The sequence below is a fragment of the Homo sapiens genome, chromosome 7, assembly GCF_000001405.40.
Source record: "Homo sapiens chromosome 7, GRCh38.p14 Primary Assembly".
Taxonomy (NCBI): Eukaryota; Metazoa; Chordata; class Mammalia; order Primates; family Hominidae; genus Homo; species Homo sapiens.
In genome coordinates this window covers 118,366,755-118,392,686 of record NC_000007.14, presented here as the reverse complement: position 1 = coordinate 118,392,686, position 25,932 = coordinate 118,366,755, and the positions used below count along the sequence as shown (strand labels likewise).

At 35.6% G+C, this 25,932-nt stretch overlaps 1 long non-coding RNA gene across 1 annotated transcript in view; it reads right to left on the bottom strand.

The window, feature by feature from the left end:
- Nucleotides 1-9,580: 9,580 nt before the first annotated feature.
- Nucleotides 9,581-25,932, bottom strand: part of LOC124901815 (uncharacterized) — a 60,048-nt gene continuing 43,696 nt past the window's right edge. Inside the window, exon 2 of the long non-coding RNA XR_007060646.1 lies at nt 9,581-9,959. This is a non-coding gene — a long non-coding RNA (uncharacterized LOC124901815). The remainder of the gene's footprint in view (nt 9,960-25,932) is intronic.

Sequence of the window (25,932 nt, the reverse complement as noted above, 5' to 3'; positions counted from 1 at the left end):
TCTTTTGGCTTAGGATTGACTTGGCAATGTGGGCTCTTTTTTAAGGAGAACTACAAACCACTGCTCAATGAAATAAAAGAGGATACAAACAAATGGAAGAACATTCCATGCTCATGGGTAGGAGGAATCAATATCGTGAAAATGGCCATACTTCCCAAGGTAATTTATAGATTCAATGCCATCCCCATGAAGCTACCAATGACTTTCTTCACAGAATTGGAAAAAACTACTTTAAAGTTCATATGGAACCAAAAAAGAGACAAGGGAACTTTTCCTGTTTCAGTATTATTTTCAAAGACATATTTGAAGGCATTCCAGATCTGTGAGATATTTACTCTAGTTTTAAAACTGCACTTTATGCAAATGAGAGTACTTTTAGGAGAAGTAAAGAAAAAAATCTGAAAATGAATTATAATAAATAATAATATTTTTTATATTTTTTTCTTCAACTTATTTTAAGTTCTGAGGTACATGTGCAGGTTTGTTACATAGTTAAACGTGTGCCATGGTGGTCTGCTGTACAGATCAACCCATCACCTAGGTATTACGCAGAGCATCTATTAGCTATTCTCCCTGATATTCTCCTTGCCCCTGCCCCTGCCCCTGCCCCTGCCCCTGCCCCTGCCCCTGCCCCTGCCTTGCCCTGACAGGCCCTAGCATGTGTTGTTCCCCACCATATGTCACATGCATTTGCATCATTCAGCTCCAATTATAAGTGAGAACATTCAGTGTTTGGTTTTCTGTTCCTGCAATAGTTTGCTGACGGTAATGCCTTCCAGCTCCGTCTATGTCCCTGAAAATAACATGATCTCATTCCTTTTTATGGCTCCATAGTATTCCATAGTATATATGTACCACATTTTCTTTATATAATCTATCACTGATGGACATTTGGGTTGATTCTAAATGTCTAAATATCTGAATGTCTAAATGTAGGAAGTTCATTAAAAAGTCAAAGTAAGTCTCAGAGAAATCATTGTTTCTTTTTTTTTTCCTTTAAAGGAGTCATTTCTGAAATAAAATTTTTATAAGGAACAGTAAGAAGTAAGAAGGGACTATACAGACCTTCCAGAATATATACCTTATTTTTATAGAATGTATATGCTGTGATCCCTGAATAATAATGCTCTTGAAAAAGACATGGTCTTGACTGTACTCCATGCTTCTTTAGATTCCTCCTACCACAACCTTGAATTTCTAAGTAGGGCAGTGGATAACACTCCAGTTAGTAGGTCTAAACATGAAAATATTTTAGTATGTGATAGGTGGTCACACTATCTACTGACCTTTTGGAAACAGCCTGATAGCTGTATGTTTTATGAACAACATTTACAATACAAGCTGCTCCTTTAATCTCTGAGACCATGGTGTGATGCAGTTTCACCAGTTCGGGACTTTTCCTGGACCATTATAAACATCAGGCCGGGCGCAGTGCCTCATGCCTGTAATCCCAGCAATTTGGGAGGCCGAGGTGGGTGGATCACTTGAGGTGAGGAGTTCAAGGCCAGCCTGACTAACATGGTGAAACCCCCCCTCTAATGAAAATACAAAAAAGAATTAGCAAGGTGTGGTGGCATGCGCCTGTAATCCCAGCTACTCAGGAGGCTGAAGCAAGAGAATCGCTTGAACCCGGGGGTGGAGGTTGCAGTGAGGTGAGATCACACCACTGCACTCCATCCTGGGTGACACAGCAAGACTCCGTCTCAAAAAAAATTAAAAAATAAAAAGAACATCAAAATTGATATATTCAATAGGCACATTTTTATATCTTTATTGTAAAACCTCTTTATTGTAAAAACTCCCTAAAAACAAATTCAGGAAACTGTCATGTAAGAAACCATCAAAATTACAATTTGAATCAGGCGCCACTCTTCTATAATTTAACAATGACCTGAAATTTAAAATTCTGAATAATGGTTGATCCTGTATTATATTTTCCCAATGGCATCAAATCTTTTTTATCTAAGGTGAAGTAAAAATAGAGCAAGATAGCTTTATGTCATTTTAAAAAATTTCTTTTCAAACAGTAAGTAATCAAGTACATCTCTAGTCAGGATCTCTTATGGTAATTCTGACTGTTTTAATTACAAATACTGGGAAGCATGGCACTAGCATCAAGCTTGTCATTATATTCTCAAGTTTCTGGGTAAAGGCCATATTCAATTAACTATTAAGGGTTTTTTAAAGTAAACTTACAATTCATAATAGCATAATATTTTAAGACTCCAAAAGAAACAAAATCAATAATATTCACACACAGTGAATAAGAAAAATAAGGTAATCCTTGTCTTCAGGGGTTTACAGCATAGTGAAAAAGTAAGATAAAAACTTGTTATACTACAATGTTAGAGGAGTATAAAAGCTCACTAGTTCAAAAGGAAACATAGTCAAAAGCAAATATGATATAAAGTGCCAGTAGTTCAATATAAGGAACCTCAGATCTGTAACTTTATAAAAACATATAATCTTTATTTTTCCAAGAGTCAAATCAATGTTTCTCTTTTTGTTAGGTTATACTTTCTATAACTGCATTTACTTATTCACACATTCAGTCAGTAAAAATATATGGAACACTTACTGTATACAGGAAAATAAAAGCTTGTGACAGACAGTCTTTTTGGTACCTACCCAGAAGTTGCTTTGCTTATTGGTAAGGTTTGCAACGTTTTGCATTTTCACATTAAAACAAGTTCTATTAGTTTTTTTATTTCAGGTAGAGATGAATATCAACCTATTTTATGAAAATACATTTTTACTGACTCTAGCCCATATCTGTAAGTTAAATAATTATTTCCAGAAAAGGTATCTTGAAATAGAAGCCACTTGCCCACTCAATTAGCCCAGAACCAAAGGCAATGTTCAGAAGATAAGAAAACACAGAAGTTAGTTGCATGTGTCTGATCAAATTATCCGAATGAAGCAAAACACAATACACAAAAATCTGTAAGATGTTATTTTAGTTGGGAGGCTGTGACAAGAATGTCGTAATTCTTCAACAAAAAGTCTGGCCCTTGTTTTGATTTTTTTTTTTTTTTTTCTTAAGTGGTACCATCTCATATGTTGCCCAGGCTGGACTCGAACTCCTGGGCCCTAGTGATCCTCCTGCCTCACCCTCCCAAGTAGCTGGGAATACAGGCATATTTTTTTTCTTTTTTGAGACCGAGTCTTGCTCTGTCACCAAGGCTGGAGTTCAATGGTAAAATTTTTGCTCACTGCAACCTCTGCATCCCAGGCTCAAATGATCCTCCTGCCTCAGCCTCCCAAGTAGCTGGGAATACAGGCATGAGCCACCATACAGGCATATTTCTTAACACTTTTGTCAAAATCTCTTTATGCAAAAAAATAGTAGAATTACACACGAATAAACTTTTTTAAGTGGTGGAATTTGATGTAGGGGTAAAAGATTATTCACAGGACCTGTGCCCAAGAAATGTGACAAGTTCTCAGGACAGACAGGATCCAGAAACTGGAAAGTCCTAAAGAGGTTGAGAGCTTCCTCTGTCCCTCCATGCTTCTCTCTGCATAACTGCTTCATTTGTTTTACTTCTACATGCTCTTAGCAGAAGATGGCCACTTTTCAGCTTCACTGGCATCATTTAGGTTCTAGAACACAGCTGAGTCCAATCACTGGCAGCAGGTAGATTGTATGGTTTATAGGTAGCTGACAGTAGAGCATTAGGGAGGTGGTTCAGATTTTAGAGGAAAATAGTCATCGTAGACCCGGTAGATACTCAAAAAGATGACTAATATTCTTATTAACATAATATCTTTAGATATTTAAAGTCGGTCTTAGCATATACTTGTATTAAGAAATGTCTCTTTTTTGTTCTAATTAGAAACAAAAAATAGTGAAAAACAATTATTTAAACCAACACCACCTAAGTGCAAGTGATTTTATAATAGGAAATATAGAAAATTACTATCAAATGGTCCTAAAATTCCACAAAATATAATGGAAAACTATTAATGAAATTACTGATAATAAAAACTCAAAGAATCAAAAAATAGGAATGAGTATTTGTAGCAAAGTGATTACAACCTATATTATTTAAGCAGGTTAAAAAATACATTGACTTCAATAGGTAAATAAGCCAGTGACATGAAAAGATAATGTACGTAAAAGGAAAGACAATGAACAAACAAACATGAAAAATGTTTTTCCTGCACCAGAAATAAAAACTGAAACAGGAAGATAATATTATCTACCTACCAAACAAGCAAAATTATATAATTATACTGTGAAATTCTAAAAAGCTTATGGTGAAAATGGTATATTCAAACATTCCTGATGGCACTTTAAGCTGATGAAACTCCTTTAAAAAGTAAATACGGGAAAAAAATTGACTTGTAGTATCATTTCTGGGATTTTCTTCCAAGGAAACAAATAACTGCATAAATCTAAAATATTTATAAGCATAAAATTATCATTAGGGTATTTTTATTATAGTATAAATTTAGAAGCATATTAGAGACTATCTACTAATAGGAAAATAGCTGAGGAAATTGTGAAAATGTTCACTTAAGGAAATACCTAACAGATAAAAGTGGTAATTAAAATTTAAGTGATAATAATTAAGACTGAATAGTAGGATAGAATATTGGATATAATCCTAAAAGAAAAGCAAACTGTACAAAAGTACAGGGTTTGTAACCACAAATTGTATATACATATTGATAAGGATTATATGAAAAGAAAGCAATTCATTTTGGGGTAGCAGTTTAATTATGTGTGAATTTATTTTTCATTTTGTTTTTTATTAATGTCAGTAATTTTATGACAAAAAAGTCTTCCTGGGCAGATTTATTTGTGTACTGTGACATGCACAATATCCCTTCTGCAAATTTCAAAGCCTTCTATTGCTTTTGCCATAACCAAATTTTTTCCCTGAATATTCCTAACCAAATTTCTTGATAGCTAGATAAATCTACCAGCTGTTGCCAAAATAATAATCTCTTATAACTTTCAGTTATTTCATTAAATTCAATCTTAGACATTTTTAAAGCAGTATAAAAATGCTTCTTATATAGAGAGTCTTCTCTGCTAACTCATCTAAAACTTCCACCACATTTTACCAAACAATTTTCAGTCTGATGAATGGAATGTCAAGGACTTGTTTTTATTTGATAATAAAAACAAAATAGGATTAGAGCTCTGATGCTTCCCCTTAAAGTGGAGCCCATTATCATGGCTATAAGGCCCTAGGGGTCACCAAGGGCATTTTTGTTTCACAGCCCCAGTCAATAAATGACACTTATAATGGAAGTACTAATGCATAAAAATGCATCATCTACCTTGTTTAAGGGAACAAGGGAGTGTCAGTCTACTTCAGATATATTTCTGTTGTAACAGTAAAATGCAATAAAAATGTTTGAATAGAGACAATAGAACTGAGTTCTATTTTGTGTTAATTCCTCTAAACATAAATTTTACTTTCATTACATAGCTTGTATAATAATAAAATAACATTGGCTTCATAGTCATTTTGCCCATATAGGATCAATTTTATAAAAATGGCATTTTCCAGCATTAAGCAAAGCAACCGCTTAGATTATTTTTAATATGTGCACACTTGAGCTCTGGATTTTGTTCTATCTCATATGCACTTAGATTTGTTTTTGACAGGACATAGAGAAAGAGTAGAAAGGAATATCCTTTCCTCAACAGGTCCCTAGACACTTTAAACATTAATTATTTGCTATCTCAAAAATCTGTAACTACTGCATATAGTCTATCTTTACTATACCCACTCATTGGAGTATTTTTCATTCCTTCCTAAATGTGAGCTTATTCAGAGACAGGATTATGTCTTGCCAAAACTATAAACAATATCTGATCATCTGGAGTTTACACCAGATGTTATTTTTAAATACTGAGGGCTTTTATGAACTGAGCTCTAGGCCAGTCACTGAGAATATGATGATGATTAAAACTCTACCCACAAAGATATTAAAACGTATTGAGGAGAAGACAAACAAGAAAATAGACAATAACAAGAGACTGAATCTTGGTAGGGGCCGCATTTGCATAATAAAATTATAATTAACAATTTTTAATCTTTTAGATTTTGATTTATTAATTATTTTTATTGTATATATTTGGAAGCACAACATTCTGCTGCAAACATCAGCTATGTTTAAAGAAGAAAAAGCTGTCAGTGACAGTCTAAATTCAGCAAAGAAGCCCTGCAGGTTCACCCCAAGTCTGAGACCTAATATACATCCTGATAAATGATCAGTTTTAATCAATAGCACCATTTAGAGAATATAAATGTCATTTTTAAAAATCGTAATACATGAACTAGTTGCACTGGCCATAGCCACCCAGAGTTCAAGGATCGGTCAGTATTAAATACTAGCAGAACACTAATCAGAGGGAAAATATACCACATAAAAATTTCTCTATAAGTGTTTCAATTCAGGAGACAGAGAAACCGCATATATTGCAAACTTTCTTGTGGAAATATTTTAATTACAAAACTTTTGAATAAGAATTTTTTGCAAATAATATAAGACATTAAACTCTAGTTTATCAAAAATTAAAATGCTGGAGAAGCACATCTTACATCTGTATCATTAAAAGAGTAAAAACTGATTTGTAGGATGTCATTTATGATCCTCTCAGTGAGTGCCTGCAATTTCTTCCTTACTCTACTGTTCAGGGTTTGTTTTTTTTTTTTCTTTTCAGTTTGACTGCTTGGAACACAGCCTCTGAGGTAAAGCAGGGAAAGCTTAAACTATATACTTGACAAGCACATGTAAAATGATGCAGCAGATTAAAAGCCACAAATGCACTAAATGTAGCAAAGGTATGAGATGGAGAGAAGTTGAAAAAATAATGACTGCATTCCAAAAGAACCATAAAAGTGGGGCCCATTATCATGGCTATAAGGCCCTAGGGGTCACCAGGGGCATTCTTGTTTCACAGCCCCAGTCAATAAATGACACTCACAATGGAAGTACTAATGCACAAAAATACATCATCTACTTTATTTAAGGGAACAAGGGAGTATCTGTCTACTTCAGACATATTTTTATTGTAATAGAAAAACGCACTAAAAGTGTTTGAAATACAAAGGAAAATTACAGTCATGTGGAAAATTTATTTTAGTGTACCATCTAATGTTATAACAATTTCAGAAACATAAATTCTGTAAAATTATATCTTCATTTCCTAAGCCTGGGTATTTGTATTTTAGCAAGCTATCATGTATGCTTTACAATTCAGATCTTTAGAAATGTATCATGTTTAACTATAAAGATCCTTTGAACTAAAAATTACTATCCTGTCAGATTTTCTCTGCATTCACACATAGGTATGTTATGAATCTATAATTAAATATACCCATTAGATAAACTACAAAAGTTACTGGCTGCCTCCATAAAACTCAACAGTCAACATAATATTAGCATAAGATGAGTTTCCTAGGCCTACAATGTCATATATTTTTAAGAAAACTTACTTTAGTATAATTCAACTAATAAAGTGGTCATTATATTTGTTTGTACCCTCTGTCTTTTAGGTATCTTTTTTTTCTCCTATTTGTTTTCATAATAAATGTCTCTTTCAAAAAAATTATTATCTGTTAGCATGAATAGAAATCAAAATGAAATAGTTTATTTGTAAAGCATTTTGTTTATTAAAGAACAGAATAATTAGAAAGACAACCTGCAAATGGTAATCCTGCCCTCCACCACAAAAGTGGCTTATATGCTATTGATATCTTGTCTTAACTTGACACTATATGCTGAATGATTTTACTAAAAGACCAACTCATGTGTGCCCTCACTTTAAATAAATCCCTTTGGCTCAGAGTATTCAGCAATCAAGATTCTTTGCATAACACCCTCTGAAATTTATTATGGATTAAACATACTCAAGATAAAATGGAAATAGCAATCATGTTCAGAAGTTTTGGGGGCATGCCAAGTATCTACAATGATCTCAATTTTTTTCCCTAATATCATTTATCAGAAGCACTTCTTCTTTTTAATATTTAAAGAATGCACACTTACTAAAAATAGGCCTCACAGGTAGCCACTACCATGTGACTTAGCATTCTGAGGCACCTATGACATTATTATATATGCCACTATTATATATGCCATCGGAATTTAACAATCATTGAAGTTTCAGGTGAATTTAATTAAGCACTGATTTGTTCTTTAATTAGAGACCTTAATATCTATGTATTGTATGAGAATATCACTTTATCATATATTTTACAGGACAAATAAGTAGAACAATCAAGGCAGCAAAGAGTTTTATACAGGTTGACATAATCACTACACATTATTTATTTGCATGTTTTAATTAGAAAAGTTGATAAGCCTTTGAATAAAACCTAGAGAGTTGAGGTAGATGAAATACATATATATATATATATATATATATATATATATATATTCATCAACTCAGTTATTCCAGTGACCAGAGTTTTTAGTTGATGCTTATTAGATGACTGTCATGTTGTAAATCAGTATTTTCTCATGAGGAGGGCTGAAGATTAACTATGATGACTGTTTTGTTCACAAGGTGGACATTTTTAACTGTGAAAAATTATGTCATAATACTCACATTAACTAAGTTATGACAACTTTGTTTAAAAGCACACCAGTTTGTAATGTACATTCTTATTTGTAAGCTGTCTTTAAAGGAAATTTCATGTTTTTAATGCAGGTACCCATTCCCAACTGGTAAACCAAAAGAGTCAATTATTGGAGCCTAAGAAAAAAACATATCTGATGATGGGTTTATATTTTTCAACATTTGCACTCTATTTTAAAATATAACTTTTCAGAAGATCTCAGAAACTCTTTGACAATTCTTAACCACAAAAGTTTTCCAAGACCTTCCATCATCTGGAGTAAATATTGTGTTTCAGCTCTTTACACGACCATAGCTAAATCCTTGCATAATATGCCCACTAGCTTTAGTAAGAGGGCAAAGGGAAAATAAATGTGGATAAAGACGGTGTTAAAATAAAATATTCCACAGTATTATCCAGAGATTATTTAGGATAATATATAGTGTATTAGTCCATTTTCACACTCCTATAAAGATACTACCTGAGACTGGGTAATTCATTTAAAAAAAGAGGTTTAACTGACTCACAGTTCCACATGGCTGGGAAGTCCTCAGGAAACTTACAATCATAGCAGAAGGTGAAGGGTAAGCAGGTACCTTCTTCACAAGGCAGCAGGAGAGAGAGAGAGCACAGGGGAAACAGCCACTTTAAAAACCATCAGATCTCGTGAGAATTCCCTCACTAGCACAAGAACAGCATGGGGGAACCACTCTCATGATCCAGTTGCCTCCCACCAGGTCCCTCCCTCGACACGTGGGGATTACAATTTGAAATGAGATTTGGGTGGGGACACAGAACCAAACCATATCATATAGTCTGCAAGGAAATTATCTTGTTGTTTATCTATACTCTTGTATTCCCTGATTCTCATTATGCTTTTCTATACATCACCCTGGAAGACTTCCTCTCTTACACTTCATACAAAAGACAAAAGGGATGGATTCATGGATCAATAGCTTGACAGATCAATCAATGGATAAATGAGCATGCATATATACATATACATAAGTGATATTTATTGTTACTCTGTATGATGTAAATAAAATGTTATATTTTCTGGGAAAGTGAATTAAATACATCCAAATGCCTTTTAATTTTCTGTTAAAAACCTAAACATTTGCACAAATAATTTATAAAATTCAGCTGTGTAAACTAGATACAGAGAATATTTAGCTGACAAATTTAAAAGCCTAACAAATACAACACCTGAAATGATCATGATACATCATTCTACTAATTAGGGGAAAAGCTCCCATTGTTGAAGCTTGTAGAATGAATTTCTTTTCTCAGCAATTCAAATGACAAGTGGTGTATATTTACAGGCAAGCCCATAGAAGTCTTACAGGTGAAAAGATGAACTTTCCTTTTACATTCCTGAAACCAAAAAAATGAAAATCTGTTTGTTTTGCAATTAAAAATACAAATTTGTATTAGTGTCCACCTCTAAAATGTGCATATTTTTATCTTCAGTACCTAAATATTTAAATATATATTGCATTTTAATAGATTCTGTCTGAACTGGTTATTAAATACAGTTCACTATGAGATTTAGTCATCTAGAAATAAATTTAATATAAAGACTACATGCTAAGGAGAAAATACCACAACTAGAAAATTTATTTGGAAAGCAAATAAATTGAATCCATATTATTAAAACCTAATCTCAAAGACACCAAAGTTTCATTAACACTTGTCATCCATATTAAGACAATTTTAAAAGATAAAGAACTGCATATATTTTAGCTCTGTATACAACACACAAATATTTCATTCAAGTGAAAACAAATCCTGATTGAGAACTGTAAAATATCTTAAAATCTCTTTAAGGGGTCTTTGTTTTAAAAAAATATAAATGAATTTCAGTCTTGTAGAATATTAACTTTTAAATATATTATAAATCTGAAAGAAGAGATTGTTATTTACTACTGGAGCTATTGAGACTTCTAGTAACCACATTTTATGTTATTTACAACAAAGTATTATAAATTGTCTACTCACTCTAAAGTGTTTATTGATATGCCAGAAATCCTTAATATGAGGATTTTTAAAAATCTATGTGTTAAATATCCATAGGATTATTGGAAAATTTTGGTTAATGTGTAGCTGGAATTTTTAAGCTTATTAAAATTATTTTTGTGTACATTTCATAATCAAAATGTTCTTGACATCTACAAAGTTTGTTAAATGAATACATGTGATTAACCAAACATTTAAGCATGAAACACAATATTTGATGAATTAAATATACGTAGAAATTGCAAATAAAGTCCATTGACTTTCGGCCAATCAAGGCAGAATCTCTTTCTGCAACATAAATATTAGCAATGGAAATGAAGAAAACAAAATTTATGATTGGCTAACTGTTCTTTCTGCTGTGCATACTATTATATATGTATAAATATATATATATAGTGAGTTTAAAAATAGATAGATGGATGACAGATAGACATCTAACTCATCACAAACAAGATAAAGTATGTTTTCATCATCCTAAAAAGTTTCCTCTTTCCATTTTGTAGGCAATCAACTCAACCATACCTTTAGCTTCTTTCAAGTATTGATGTTTTTTCTGTCCCGATGGAATTACTTTTATAAGAATGTTATATAAGTGCATTTACACAGTATGAAGCCATTTATGGCTGTCCTTTTTTACTTAGCTACTTTACTTTTTCTTTATTTAGGCTTTGAGATTTACTTATGTTTTTGAATATGTGGGAAGGGTGTTCCTTTATATTACTTACTAGCGTTCCACTATCAAGATGCACCATATATTGTTTGTCTATTCACCAGCCAATAGATATTTGGGTTACTTCTAAGTTCTGGCTATTTTGATTCAAAGCAATATTAACATTCACATATAGGTTTTGTGTGGACAAATGTTTTCACTGATCTTAGTTTTCTGTTTCTGCATAACAAATTAGTACTCGCAACACACATTTATTATTTCAAATTAATGCCATGATTCTGTGGGTCAAGAGTCTGGTATATTTTAATAAAATCTTCTGCTCAGCATCCCACTAAGCTACAATCAAGATGCAGGCAGGTCAGGGCTGTAACATCATCTGAGATTTGGGGTCCTCTTCCTATCTCATTGGTTGTTGGCAGAATTTAGTTCCTTGAATTGTAGGATTGAAGACTTCACCTGCTGGATGTCACCAGGGGCTCCTGTCCACTCCTAGAGGTCACTCACATCTTCTTGCCACATGACCCCTTTCAGGATACAGCTGTTTGCTTCTTTGCAGCAGCAAGAGAATGTTTCTCTCATGTGGAATTTCTAACTTTAGAACAAGTCTTATATAATACAATGTAGTCAGGGAAATTACTATCCCATTACTCTGGCCACATAGTGTAATCTAATTAAGGGAGGGAATATGTCATTATATCCTCTGGTCTCCCCACAGTAAAGCTGTATCATTTCGAAGAAAACATACGAACAAAAAACTCATACATGCATTGTTTTTCCCCAGAAGCAATGGATGATAACTGACACTGGAGCTTCATAAAAGAGATCAGGGACACAATAGCTCATCCTTCTCAGATTCTTCCTCACCAACCACCTGTTTATGTATTTGGAAAATGAAACTTTTAAAAATATATAATGTAAACTACAGGAAGTAAAGCTCAAAGACATTTTATTTTATGGTAGTAGAGACCAAAGGTAGACTAGTTTCTACCTTTTAGAGATTCTTGGGGTGGGAAAATATCAGAGATGTCACTGAGAAGAATGTATTCAAAACTAAATTATGAAAGAAATTAGGTTTTCATGTTTATCAAAAGCAGACATGGCTTAAATGTAAACGACTGATCTGATCAACACTGACTAAAATCAACAAGTAAATCTTATGATGCTCTAAGTAGGCCTGATATACTAGAGAATAATTAAAAGGTCAAGATAATATTTAAAATAACACATTAGAAAAGACTACACAGTCTCTCAGACGTTAAATTTCCTCAAGTTTTTCTTTAAATGTACCAAGTTTTCAAGATTTTCTTAACAACTAAAATGAGATTGGATTTTATGTGAATTGGCATTAATTTTTAAGTGATATATTGTGGGTGCATATAAATTTCAGAATACTTTAGTCACATGTATTCATCTACAACAATAGAGTAATTGGTAATACATGCCTTGTAGATGTGGGATTTGAGGATGACAGTTGAGTATAGTTAACTCATGATTAAAGTGAATCGAAAGAAAAATATTTAAAAGAAGAGGATGTATTTAAAAGTAAAAACCTATAACTTGAGAATTTTGGAAATGTGGGGATTTGAAAATAAATGTAAGACACCTTATTAAATTGTGTTTTTTAGCATCTTAGTGACTGGTCCAAAATCCTGGTTTTTTTCCTGCCACCATTTAAAGGCCCTCATCTATTCTCAAAAACTGTAGGAATCCCCTAATTCCTAAGAATATGTTATATGATTAGTCACTTTACCTGGTGCTTACCTTAAGCAATAAAGCGTGATGCAATATTTAATGTCTGTGTAACCCAGATCAGTTTGAGACTTACCTTCCATATGGAAACTTAAGAAAATGTAATTTAAGACTACAGATATATTACCGTGAGCAAATCTGGCACTCTCTGAACAAGTTCTACCAATCTCCATACTAACTTCTAGCAAGTTTTAAGATTGTCTATCTGCCTTGTCTCTGCTCTTGTGTTTAAATTAAGATCTTGATTCATCTCCTTGAAAGGCACCATGTTAACCCTTTTGCTGATTTCATTAAAAGAGTTGGTCATATGAATCCACCTGGGCCCAGGCTCACACCTGTAATCTCAACAGTTAGGGAGGCTGAGGAAGGAGGATTGCTTGAGCCCAGGAATTCAATACAAGCCTGGGCAACATGGTGAGACCCCCCATCTCTACAAAAAATTTTAAAAATAGCCAGGCATGATGGTGCACCTGTGGTTCCATCTACTCAGGGGGCTGAGGCTGAAGAATTGCTTGAGCCCAGGAGGTCGAGGCTGCAATGAGACATGTTTGTACCACAGCACTCTAGCCTGAGTGACAGAGCAAAACCCTGTCTCAGAAAGAAAAAAAAAAGAATCAGTTAATTTGGTAATTTCACTGAAGTATGAATGTTTCACAGGGAAATTAGGTTCCAGACTATAGAGCCCTCTGCCATCTCATTGGTTTCAATACCACACTCTGCTGCCATCTGAAGAAACTGCATCCTCCCTGTACTGGCACAACCCCCAGGAGATGCAGCCCCCTTCCTTCCTTCCTTCCTTCCTTCCTTCCTTCCTTCCTTCCTTCCTTCCTTCCTTTCTGTATCTTTCTCTCTCTTTGTCTCTCTCTCTCTGTCTCTCTCTCTCTCTCTCTCTCACACACACACACACAGAGAGAGAGAGAGAATGTGCTGTGCTCCTCTGTCTTCCTTCCTTCCCCATGCATTCCTCACCTTGTCAGTGATTCTGCCATATGAGATCATTACCTATTCGCAAAAGTCAGAACCATTTTCTCAGATGAACATCTAATCTGATTTTTAAAAGGCTCTGTGGGAAATAAAGTCTTCAATATCCAACTTTACACTTTAAATGGTTTTTTGCCAGCAACTTTTCCTTTCTTAATAAGTTACAATAAATGTTGATTCTGGTTTGTGACAGATGGTTCATCTCTAAGAGCCCACAACAGTGAGTTAGATGTTTAAAATAAACTTGTAAAAAACAGGCACCAGGAGAAATGCATCCAGACCTTGTTCCACAAAGTCCTTTCCTAGACTGTCATATAAGTATGCATTTGTATGTGAATGAAGCAAAAATAATTCTGATCTATCATAAATGAGACTCTCTGCAGGAGTCCCCACCAAAGAATATGTCTGTCCCTGCATGCAATCTCAATTGCTACTGAATCTAATTCAGGACCCGTTTGTGATATTTTATTACATAGCTAGACATTTTGTACCTGCTAAAATTGGCATATCCTTTTCAGAGCACTCCTTAAATTGTTACTAAATGAAAAGAATAAACTTAGGTATTATGTTAATTAATCAATTTTCAAAAGAATACTGGATGTTTTCCACAATGTTAATGCTACTTGTTATCTCTGATTACTGTTGTAGTTCACCAACATCTCATTTGGTTTTTAATCCGTCTCAGCTCTAATATGGGTCACTTGGGGCAAAGTTGACTAAAGAGAGGTAGTTTACAGTAAAGTGCTGGAGGAGTCAAAAAGGTACAGAAACTGTGGTTTGTTTTTTACCCTACACAATAAGTTCTCAATCAGAAGTTAACTTTACATTACAAAAACAATGACTTGTGTTTTGTTTCATGTGGGTTTTAATATATTTATTTTTCTCTAGGAAGAGTTACCTTAGAGCTCTCAGCACATTGAATCAATTGTCTTTGGCACATTGAGTAATCCACATATAACTTACAAGCTGAAGACTGTTAAAGGGAAGAAGAGCAGTATGTGCAGAATAAAAATCAGGCAGACATTGAATTAAGAGTCTAAATATGATATCATCTTACATATTACACGTGCTGTGTCCTTGGAGTAAAAAGAAAAGGGCAGAGTTTATTTAATGTTTCACTTGGTTTCATTAAAATTTCTCTTGCTCAAGTAACACAAGAAGAAAAAAGCCAAACACCACATGTTCTCATTCATAAGTGGGAGTTGAACAACGAGAACACATGGACACAGGGAGGGGAACATCACACGCTGGGGCCTGTCAGGGGGTGGGGGGCTGGGGTAGGGATAGCATTAGGAAAAATAGGAGTTGATGAGTGCAGCAAACCAACACGGCACATGTATACCTATGTAACAAACTTGCACGTTGTGCACATGCACCCCAGAACTTAAAGTGTAATAATAAATTGTTTAAAATTTTCTCTTGCTCAACAAATATATAATTCTGGAATATAGTATGGCAATGAGTCAGCCCACTGATTATTTCATTTGCTCTCTTATACTTCCAAATCTTTTTGCATTTAGGTGAGGTCATGTGACTAGTTCTGGCCAATGAAATCACACATGTCTTCTCCAGAAGACTGGTTATTAAATACTTCCAGAGCAAAGTACTTAATTACCAGTGCAAGACTGTCTTGTGTCTCTTCACCTATTGCATGAATGGGAAAGGCCACATCTTCCAGACAGTTCACATAGAAGGTGATGGAGCCTCTGTCAGCGAGGGTCCCTGACTGAGGATCCAAATCCCCACAAAATTCCAGCTACTAATTTGCACTGTATATGTTTCATGGGCCAAAAAAAAGAACTTGTTAAGTTAAGCCACTAAGATTTTAGAATTAATTACTTACTTCAACATATGGTAACAACACTGCAAAAATAATGAAATAATTATAAGAATAATGCAAAGAAAAAAGAGTTATTGTCCTTATTCATCCCTCTCCAATAGAAACATAGCTAAGAAAGAAGAACAAGCAGATACTGTTTTGTTTACATGGCCTATGAACACAACATTGGTGATGAAGGTCGGAAATAACACCTATAAAGGATATTTACATACATACGCATTCTCACAATTATACATATATTCAAACATATCCTAAGTAGTCTATATTCTGTTGGATTTAAGAAAGAACTATTGAAAATTATTATATACCACATTTGCAAGCCTCTTTTTCTAAGTAAATGAAATCCTTAGTTAGTCACTAAAGCCAAACTGTCCTTGAAGAGATTCCATTTATTTGCCTATCTTCAACATCATTTGACAGATGGGATTAATTAAAAGATATTGAGAATTGTTATTAAACTCAAAATACACAGGTAAACATCCAGAGAACACTTTCCAGATGGTCTTTTGGGAGTCTACATTAATTTTTCATGAAAAAAAAATTTGCTCTGTCATCAATCAACTAATCCTGACTACAATAAGTGCATTCTTCCCGTCTCAATTGTTTTATTAATTATTTGCTGCCATGTCCCCAAATTATTTTAGTAGGTGTTATTTTTCAAAGTTGACATGATTTGTGATTGAAAAAGGCAGTTTATAATATTCTATAGCCAGTAGATTAAAACACCTATTGCCTTTGGGGGCATGCAGTGTCCCCAACTCCATATATCAAAAGAATAAATGAATGACCGTAAGAAAGGAGAAATAATATATCTAAAAATGCTGATGCTTTAAAAATAAAATCCTTCATCAGGCATGGTGGCTCACAGCTGCAAATCCCAGCACTTTGGGATACTGAAGCAGGAAAACTGCTTGAGCCCAGGAGTTCAGGATCAGCCTGGACAACATAGTGGGACCTCATCTCTAAAAAATAATAATAAAATTAGCTGGGTGTGGTGGCACACACCTATAATCCCAGCTACTCACAAATGCTGAGGTGGGAGGATCACTTGGGCCCAGGGGGTCAAGGCTGCAATGAGCCATGATCACACCACTGCACTCTAGCCTTGATGATAGAGTAAGACCTTCTCAAAAATTAATTAATTAATTAAAATAAAAATCCTTACACTAATCTATAATGCAAAGCATACAATGGCACAGTTGGCTGGTGGAGAGGAGGTCATTTGAAGTGATCTGGGTCAAGCATAAGCCTGCCTTTACCTAGTATTTTGTGATTAGGAATTCAGCAAGTTTAATCATTACTTTCAGGTAGCTGTTAGAAGCTGCGTTTTCTAAATTGTGAAGAAAGCACGTCTTCAATAAGATGAGTAAAAACTAATGTACCCACAGAAACTGAGAGGAGTGAGCCATTGAGGAAACTCTTCTAGAATTTGGAGTTTCTCGTTCCACTATTACTGAGGCCTTGGATTTCAGTATTGTGCAACTGACATTTTAACGGGATCATCCACCACTTAAGACCTAATGGCTAGAAATTTTTAAAGATATCTAGCTAATGGACTTAAACCCTAATTCCACTATTTGTGAACAATTCAAAAAACCTCCCAAGATTTCCGTTAATCACTCAAGGTTCAACACATGGAGGGCAGGCCATCAGAGTGGCTTCAACTTATTTTCACATTCATCTCTGGTGCCTTAATTCTGTTGATAATTCTATTTTATTTTTATTTTTTATATATATATATATATATATATATATTTTTTTTTTTTTTTTTTTTTTTTTTTTTTTTTTTTGAGATGAAGTCTCATTCTGTCACCAGGCTGGAGTGCAGTGGCGCAATCTTGGCTCACTGCAACCTCCTCCTCCCAGGTTCAAGCAATTCCCCTGCCTCAGCCTCTGGGTAGCTGGGACTACAGGCATGCGTCACCACACCAGGCTATTTTCTTGTATTTTAGTAGAGATGGGGTTTCACCATGTTGGCCAGGTTGGTCTTGATCTCCTGACCTCGTGATCTGCCCGCCTTGGCCTCCCAAATTGCTGGGATTACAGGCGTAAGCCACCGCACCCGGCCAATATTTCTAACTAATGATGTCCTTCTCTGATTTGTATCAGTCCAATCATGGAATTCAGCTTCAATCTCTTTCCATAATTATTTCAAACAATTAAGTAAACTTCACAACTATAAGAAAATACTCTGACTCCAAAACTAGTTATTTGTGTGTATAATAGATTCTACTGAAGATTTAAAGGAGTCACAATAGGATTTACAATAAAGAAATAGAAACTACATAATTTTTATCATTAAACTTCTGGTAACCCCATTCCAGGATTTTTTCACTGACCCTGTGGCCCCCACTTAGAATTGCACCTTCCCCCATACTGCTGACTCCTTATCTTCCTCTATCCCATCTCCCTCTTTCATCTTCTTTCCAAAAGAACTATAAATTATCCTCAGAACAGTGCTTTGAAATTCAGCTCGAAGCCCAGATTTGCATTTTCAAATCCATCAAAGAACTCTGTAGAAAAGAAATTAATTTAACAGTGCTCATCTTTTAGACAATGGTTATTTTAAATAGCAATTTTTTCCACCATCACTTCCATAATAAAGTTGTCTTTTTGTTTATGCTAGGTCAACCTTGAGAGTTTCAAACACACAAATAAAGTCATAGTGCATTGAAAAAGACCAATGTGGATTGGTAAAATATATTATTTACATAACTTTTAAGTGAAAATATTTTCAAGTATATGTTGCACACCTGGTGGGGGGAGCAAATTGGTAGTAACATGACTGTTCTATACAATATTTTTATTAAATATTTTTATCTTCAAGAATATAGGGCACTTTCAGCCAGAGGAACACATGGTTGGCAAACAGAAGTCTTAGGGAAAATGCTTTAATTAACAAGGATAATAAATGTTGAAGTAAATGGAAGTGATATAATTAAATGCTGTGCTTCTAGAAGCCTTTAAGAGTTAGATTTTCTGCAATATTTGTATTAGTCTGTTCGCATACTGCTATAACGAACTATCTAAGACTGGGTAATTTATGAAGAAAAACGGCTTAATTGACTCACACTTCTGTACAGTAAGCATGCTGTACAGTAAGCATGGCTGGAAGGCCTCAGGAAACTTACGGTCATGGAGGAAGGCACAGAGGAAGCAAGCATATCTTACCATGGCATTGCAGGAGAGAGAGAGAGAGCATAGGAGGAAGTATACACACTTTCAAACAACCAGATCTTGTGAGAACTCACTCACTATCATGAGAACAGCAAAGGAAAAGTCCACCCCATAATTCAATTGCCTCCCACCAAGCCCCTCTCCTGACACGTGAGGATTACAATTTGAGATGAGATTTGAATAAGTACACTGAGCCAAAGGGGGTAAATCTATTTTTTCATAAAGGGTAAATTAAAAAGTGAAATTTAACAGTCCAGTCCTAAATTACCACCTTGCCTGAACTACAGTGATCTGGACAGAAAAACATATTCTAGGTGTCTAATTATGAGGATTTCTCCATGGAGACTTCCTCAAATAAGTAATGTATTTCTCATTTGAAATGTCTATTGTGTTTTTATTTAAAAATACTTAAAATGCTTAATTAATATCTCCTATGTAAGATGTGTTAACATCATTCAATCCTTTTATTTGAAACTCTGCGTTCTCCCTGAAATCAAGGATTAAATGCATGGAAAGGCAAATAAGAGGCTAGAGGAGAACACATAGAACTAAAATCAGTAAGATAATGACTTAATCAGTACAAATGGGAATGTATTTTCTTTTAAGGCCCTTTCTCTTGCAGTGTAGCATTGCCAGGTAACTGCCATATGTGTCTATTTTTACCTAGAAGAGGTGAAGAGCACTTTCAGCAAGGGCAACATTTGAAGCTTCCAGTTCTAGATTTACTGTCACAAGCAGAAACAGATTCAAAAATCAACATAAAGAGTAATACTTTATAAGAGCTTTGGCAGAAATGATGATGTTGCCTACAGATCCTCTTTTTAGAAGAGACTCACTGCTCAGCTGTGGAGAGTGTGGTTAGCTGATAACCTCAGCTGTTAGTTCCTTCAAGGTCTGACTTAGCTCCTGAGCCAAGTTTAATCACTTACATTGGCTCCCAGCCAAAGACTGATTAAAGCTAAGTAAAATGGACTGTAACCAACTCAGCTTTTCTCTAACATAAATCTTTCCTCCAGAGATCCCTACCAGGCTGGCAGAGACATTCTTAGTGTTGGGTACTACTTTGCTTGCCTCTTTCTTACTTCCTTTTTCTTTCATGAGTTTACTCTCCGGGATACTTTTTGCATTACCAACTTTGTTGCAGTATCTGATTTCCAGATAACTTAGGGGGCACAATTTTACCAGGAATGGCCCGAGAAGACAGGCATTAAGATGGGATATGGGACTGTTACTCACTCCTCAGCTAGCAATGTAGACTTCATCCTGAGTGGCAAGTGGAGCATGGACAACCAATTGTTAAAACGTTCACCAGTGGCCACCTGGGAGACTATGGTGGGGGAGGGCTGTTCCCTGAATACAGTGAGGATTCAGGCATTTGAACTGTAAAGGGGAATTGGTAAATAGAACCATAATGGAATTAAATTATTTTTACTAAGTTCATTGCTTCCCTAAAGATGGATATAAAAGGCTGAGAGAAATTAACAAATAATTACAAGCTAAGTGTGAGAGCAAGAGAGTTTGTTTGATAGCTAACAAGAAGCTCACTTCTCATAAAATGGGCAAGCAGAAAAAAATGAAGCTCAAGACCAGTATTTAGTAGTCAGAGATGCTAAACTTCAAAGGCAGTTAAATGTTCAAGGCAGGGCTCTCATGCCAAAGTCAGGTCCATAGTCAAGTAATACTGGGATACTGTCGCGTGGTAGAGGGACAAGGGGAACCCAGTTGATACTGACTCCCCACCATCCTTTGAATCCTCTCAACGTACAGAATGGTCTCACTCTTCTCCACTAAGAACTAGCACTCATCCTATGTGTAAAGACTATACAGAAATTTCTCCCATCCTTCCACACAAAACAACATATTTTCTCAGGAGCTTCCCCAGTCTCCTCACCTGGCCATCAGACCCATAGCCAAGGTTAATGCATCTAAGAAGTGTGGGGGGCTAATGAAGGAGGACATAAACTATACCCACAAAGGAGATAAGGCATGCAGCAGACAAATACAGAGGAGCCCAGGAAGTGCTTGTGAAACTGGATCCTGAATGTACTCAAAGAGGTGTGACTGTAAACTGAATAAGGAGGAATTTATTGACTTGGAGACACCCTCACTAAATATAGGATTGAACATCCTCACACAAAAAAGGAGATGATATTAATACAAATTTGTTGCTTGGATGTCTATTAGAAGCCTGGAAAAAGTCATGACCCCGGGTGAGTGAGATTGAAGTGCCTGAGTTGCTGTGGTGGATGCTAAATGAAGGGATTAAACAGCTCAGGGATTTAGGACCCCTTGAGTAGTTATTGATATGGTTTGGCTCTGTGTCCCCACCCAAATCTCATCTTGTAGCTCCCATAATTCCCACGTGTTGTGGAAAGGACCCGGTGGGAGATGATTGAATTATGGGAGCAGGTCTTTCCCATGCTGTTCTCGTGACAGTGAATGGGTCTCACGAGATCTGATGGTTTTAAAAATGGGAGTTCCCCTGCACAAGCTCTCTTTTTGCCTGCTGCCATCCCACGCACATAAGACATGACTTGCTCCTCCTTGCCTTCTGCCATGATTGTGAGGCCTTCCCAGCCATGTGGAACTGTAAGTCCAAAAATATCTTTCTTTTGTAAATAACCCAGTCTCGGGTATGGCTTTATCAGCAGCATGAAAATGTTATGTGAGGCCACAAGATTCTCCAAAAAACAAAATCTTTCTTGAGAAGGCCTAGAAGACATACTGTTTACCAGGATTATAACAAATGTGCAGGCCTGAGCATCATTAGCATCACTAAAATGGTCAGGGATGGCTCTGTTGTATAGGCCAAGGCTGATGGTAGAGGCTATCACAGAAACTCACTTGCTGATAGCAAAGGTAGGAAGCAACAAAAGCAAGGTGGTGTGGCTGAACTAGCAGAAGTCAGGGTTTTATAATTATTTTAACAAGCAACAAAATCAGAGGGCCATAGAGCATTATGAAGACGGTAAATAGAATATGGCACCTCCAAGGACAAAATAGGCAGGCAGTCATCAAGGTGCTGCTTAACATAATATCAAAAGTGAGCAAGACAGAAAGTAGAATAGTGATTACCAGTGGCTATAAGGAGGAAAGGGAATGAGGAGTTATTGTTTCATGGGTACAGAGTTTCAGTATGAGATGACAAAAAAGTTCTGGAGATGGATATGATGTTGGTTGCAAAAACAGTGTGAATGTACTTAATGCCAGAGAATTGTACACTTAAAAATGATTAAAATAGTAAATTTTATGTTATTTATATTTTGCTACAATGAGTAACATAAAAACAAGTGAGCAAGAATGAATGAGCAAAAGGCTAAAAGTGGTCACCTCAATAAAATGTCATAATCACTTGCCAGTTTCTTTGTCTGAGTCAGGTTTCAGGACCAGAACCTATTGACTAAAAGGTCAATAGATTCACTAAAGACATGAACACATCTCCAGAGGAAGATCCTGCCACGTGATGACAAATACACAGTGTAATGATCCTCTATCTCCCTCAAACAGACCTGTGGCTGTTTACCCAAGGAACTGTGCACCTGGAACTGCCCAGATGTTTTGAAAACGCAGGGTTCATGATGTTGATACCTGAAGACATGAAGTGTCATCGTAACCTCCACATTAGAGTGGGAGCATGTGAGAAAAAGGTAACAAATGGAGTCCTAAGCTAAGTCTGGCTTACCTTATATTAACCAGGTCTGTACACTCACCCAATGGCAATACCCTTAGCCCCTAAATGTATAGTTGAGATTGACATACTTGTCAATTAAAGAAACCCCAGCACTAGGTACTTGATCTACGAAGTAAGAGCAATTACAGTGGGGACATTATGTGTATGTTTTTGAATATATATATATATGTATCAAACTATTCCCCATAAGTATGTACAACTGCAATATGGTAATTAAAAAAATAAATTTAAGAAAAGAGACCATGTATAGAGAAGCTTGATAGGTCTGCTAAAAGCTTTCACCTCTGCATATTGGGTCTCATGTACCTGAATAACCAGTTATTGGGGAAAAAGATAGTGGGGACAGCCAAGTGGAAGCCTATGATAAAGGCTCCAACTCTCTGCAAAGATAAGAAATCAAAATCAGTATTATATTCTGGGATGAATTATGGAGACTAGTGCCACTTTTAAAAGTTTATCAAATGTATAAGTGGTGGTTCATACAATATACCATTTAATTCACCAATACAGCCCCCACAATAGCTAGACGGATCCTCGAGAATGTCTGTAGGCTATCTCGAGTTCAAATAGCATCCTTATCATAGCTGTCTTGCCAGGTGTGAAGTTCCACTAGAACGGATTAATTTTGATTCAGGTATTTGAAATGTAGGCATTGATTTTGCAAATTTTGTTCTTTCCTATCCAGTCAGAAAAGAGGACCAGGAACCAAATTCACATGCAACAGATAACAATACACACATACTGTTTTGGTTCAGGACTAGGCTAACTCTCCTACATTTCATCATAATCTAATCTCAAGAGAGCTGGGCCATCTGAACATCCCATGTAATATCACACTGATTATTTCAACATAAAATGATTGGGTATGGTGAGCAACTGTTGGCTAGAACCCTGGAAGATGTGATGAAACACACATGCTACAGAGACTGGAAAATGAAAGTTTTGAAGATTCAGGGAACTGCCTCTTCTTTAAAGGGGTCCAGTGGTCATGGGCACTGAGACATTGGTTCTCCAAAGTAAGGGACAGATTGGTGCATTTTGCATACTTTAGTACAAAGAAGGATTCATAGTGTCTGGTTCTTTGGGTTTTGGAGGGAACACATTCATTCCATACCTAAGAATAGTTTTGGGACCATATGTTAGATGACAAAAAGAAGTATCAGTTTTGAGTGGGGCCTAGAACAGCTCTGGAATTATCTGCTCAGTATTCCCCTCTCTGGTACTCTGTCTTCCAAACTTTATCCACCTTGGCCTCCCCACACTGTCTGCTCCATCTCCTCAACTGGTGTCTGCCAGGCTTTGCCGGGGTTGCCCCTTGCTTTACTACAGCTTGAAAACTCCCTCCAGGCCATAAGCTTGGGTAATTATGATTCATCTTGATTGCTGCTGTTACTCTAGGATCACTGTCCTTGTGTGTGTGTATGATAGTACAGTGGCACAATGACGGCTCACTGAAGCCTCCACCTCCTGGGCTCAGACCATCCTCCTGCCTCAGCCTGCCTAGTAGCTGGGACTACAGGTACAAGCCACCACACCCAGCTAATTTTTTTTTATAGAAACGAGGGTCTCACTATGTTGCCCAGGCTGGTCTGGAACTCCTGGGCTCAGGCAATCATCCCACCTCGGCCTTCCAGAGTGCTGGGATTACAGGTGTGAATCACTGTGCCCACCCATTTTATATTTTGTTTGTTATTTTTGGTGACCCGGTAAATGCAGCCCCTGTTAGTTCATCTTGATCAGAAGCAGATGTCTTCTCACGTCTTTAGAAATACCAATTTCTCATTAAGATGGAACTTGTAGATTTTCTGTTATCTCTTTGTTAAAGTATCTCTCTAAATATTACTTCCTATTTACATTGTCAAATTAAAAATCTCTCCAAGCATAGAGAGATAGTTTCATGATTCCCTATATTCAGACTGTCCTCTTTAAATATTAACTGGATTTTGAGGCTCTACTGCCCAATGCCCATGGGTGGCATAGGAAAGGTTACTTATGGAATTATTTGCAGTGGGCCTACCTTATTTTAAAGACAGGAAAGGTTATTTCCCCAAAAGAATATTTATAAATATGTTCTCTAAGCCAGAGTAGTAATAATTCCAAAGCTTCTGGCTCAGTGTATAAATCAAATATGAAAATCCATGATAACTTTTGAGACCTTTCCTGTAGGACTTAATTTAAGCTTTTTAATAAATCTGGATTTAACCAACTACCACTTAGGTTTAATTCAATTAAATAACTGTGTATGTATACTTTATTATGTATAAAGACCCACAGTGCCATGAGAAAGAGCAGGCAGAACCAACCCTTGATGTGCTGACATCATTACTATAGGGTAACTTAAGACAACTTCTATTCAACATAGCATGGTAAATCCATAAATGATGATTCCAATAAACTGTCACTGAGGATTAAATTAGCTCTCATGAAGAGTTGTAAAATTCTAAATGTGCCTTGTAGAGTTTCAGTTAGAGATAACAGGACAAAGCTGTCAAGAAAGTGGAACCAAAATTAACAAAGATTCAAATGTGAGAATACGTTTGAGAAATTCAGAGGAAGATGGATACAGATAATTCAAGCTGGCTAGAATGTAGCCTAAATGAATGGAAGTAAACTGGAAAAATGGAAGACAAATACTCTTTGTTGAAGGCTTTTATTATAAAGCAGAGGAGTTTCTACCTAATCACAGGAAGGAGATTCTGAAAGATTTTGAATTCGAGAATAACTATCAGCAAAATTTTTAAAAACTACAGAGGGGTGAGTATAAAATGATAACTTAGAGAATTGAGACATTAAAAGGATATGTAAGAGACATAAAAAGCAGAAAAATGAGGACAAAGCACAGATTTTTTTACAGAACATTTTACATAATATGCTGCTTTTAAAAAGTAAATAAAATTCTAAGGTACAAGAAAGAGCCTCATTATAGGAAAAAGATGTGAAGGAAGGGTAAGAGTGGCAGCTGATCTCTGAGTGCTCTCAGTTACAGAAAAAATGGTAAATCTTTAGAATACAAAATACAAATGTTTAATACTCTTAAAATTTCTCAACTTCAGAAACAAATTAAAATAATAAATAGGAGAGCTTTCAAACGTCAAAATATGACAAGACTGGTAATTTTCAGTGATGCACTTGGGCGATATATACCAAGAGGATTAAATTGTTCAAATCCATTGTCCTAGTAATTTCCCTTCAAAGAATCTCTTCTAATGAAATAAAAACTCAG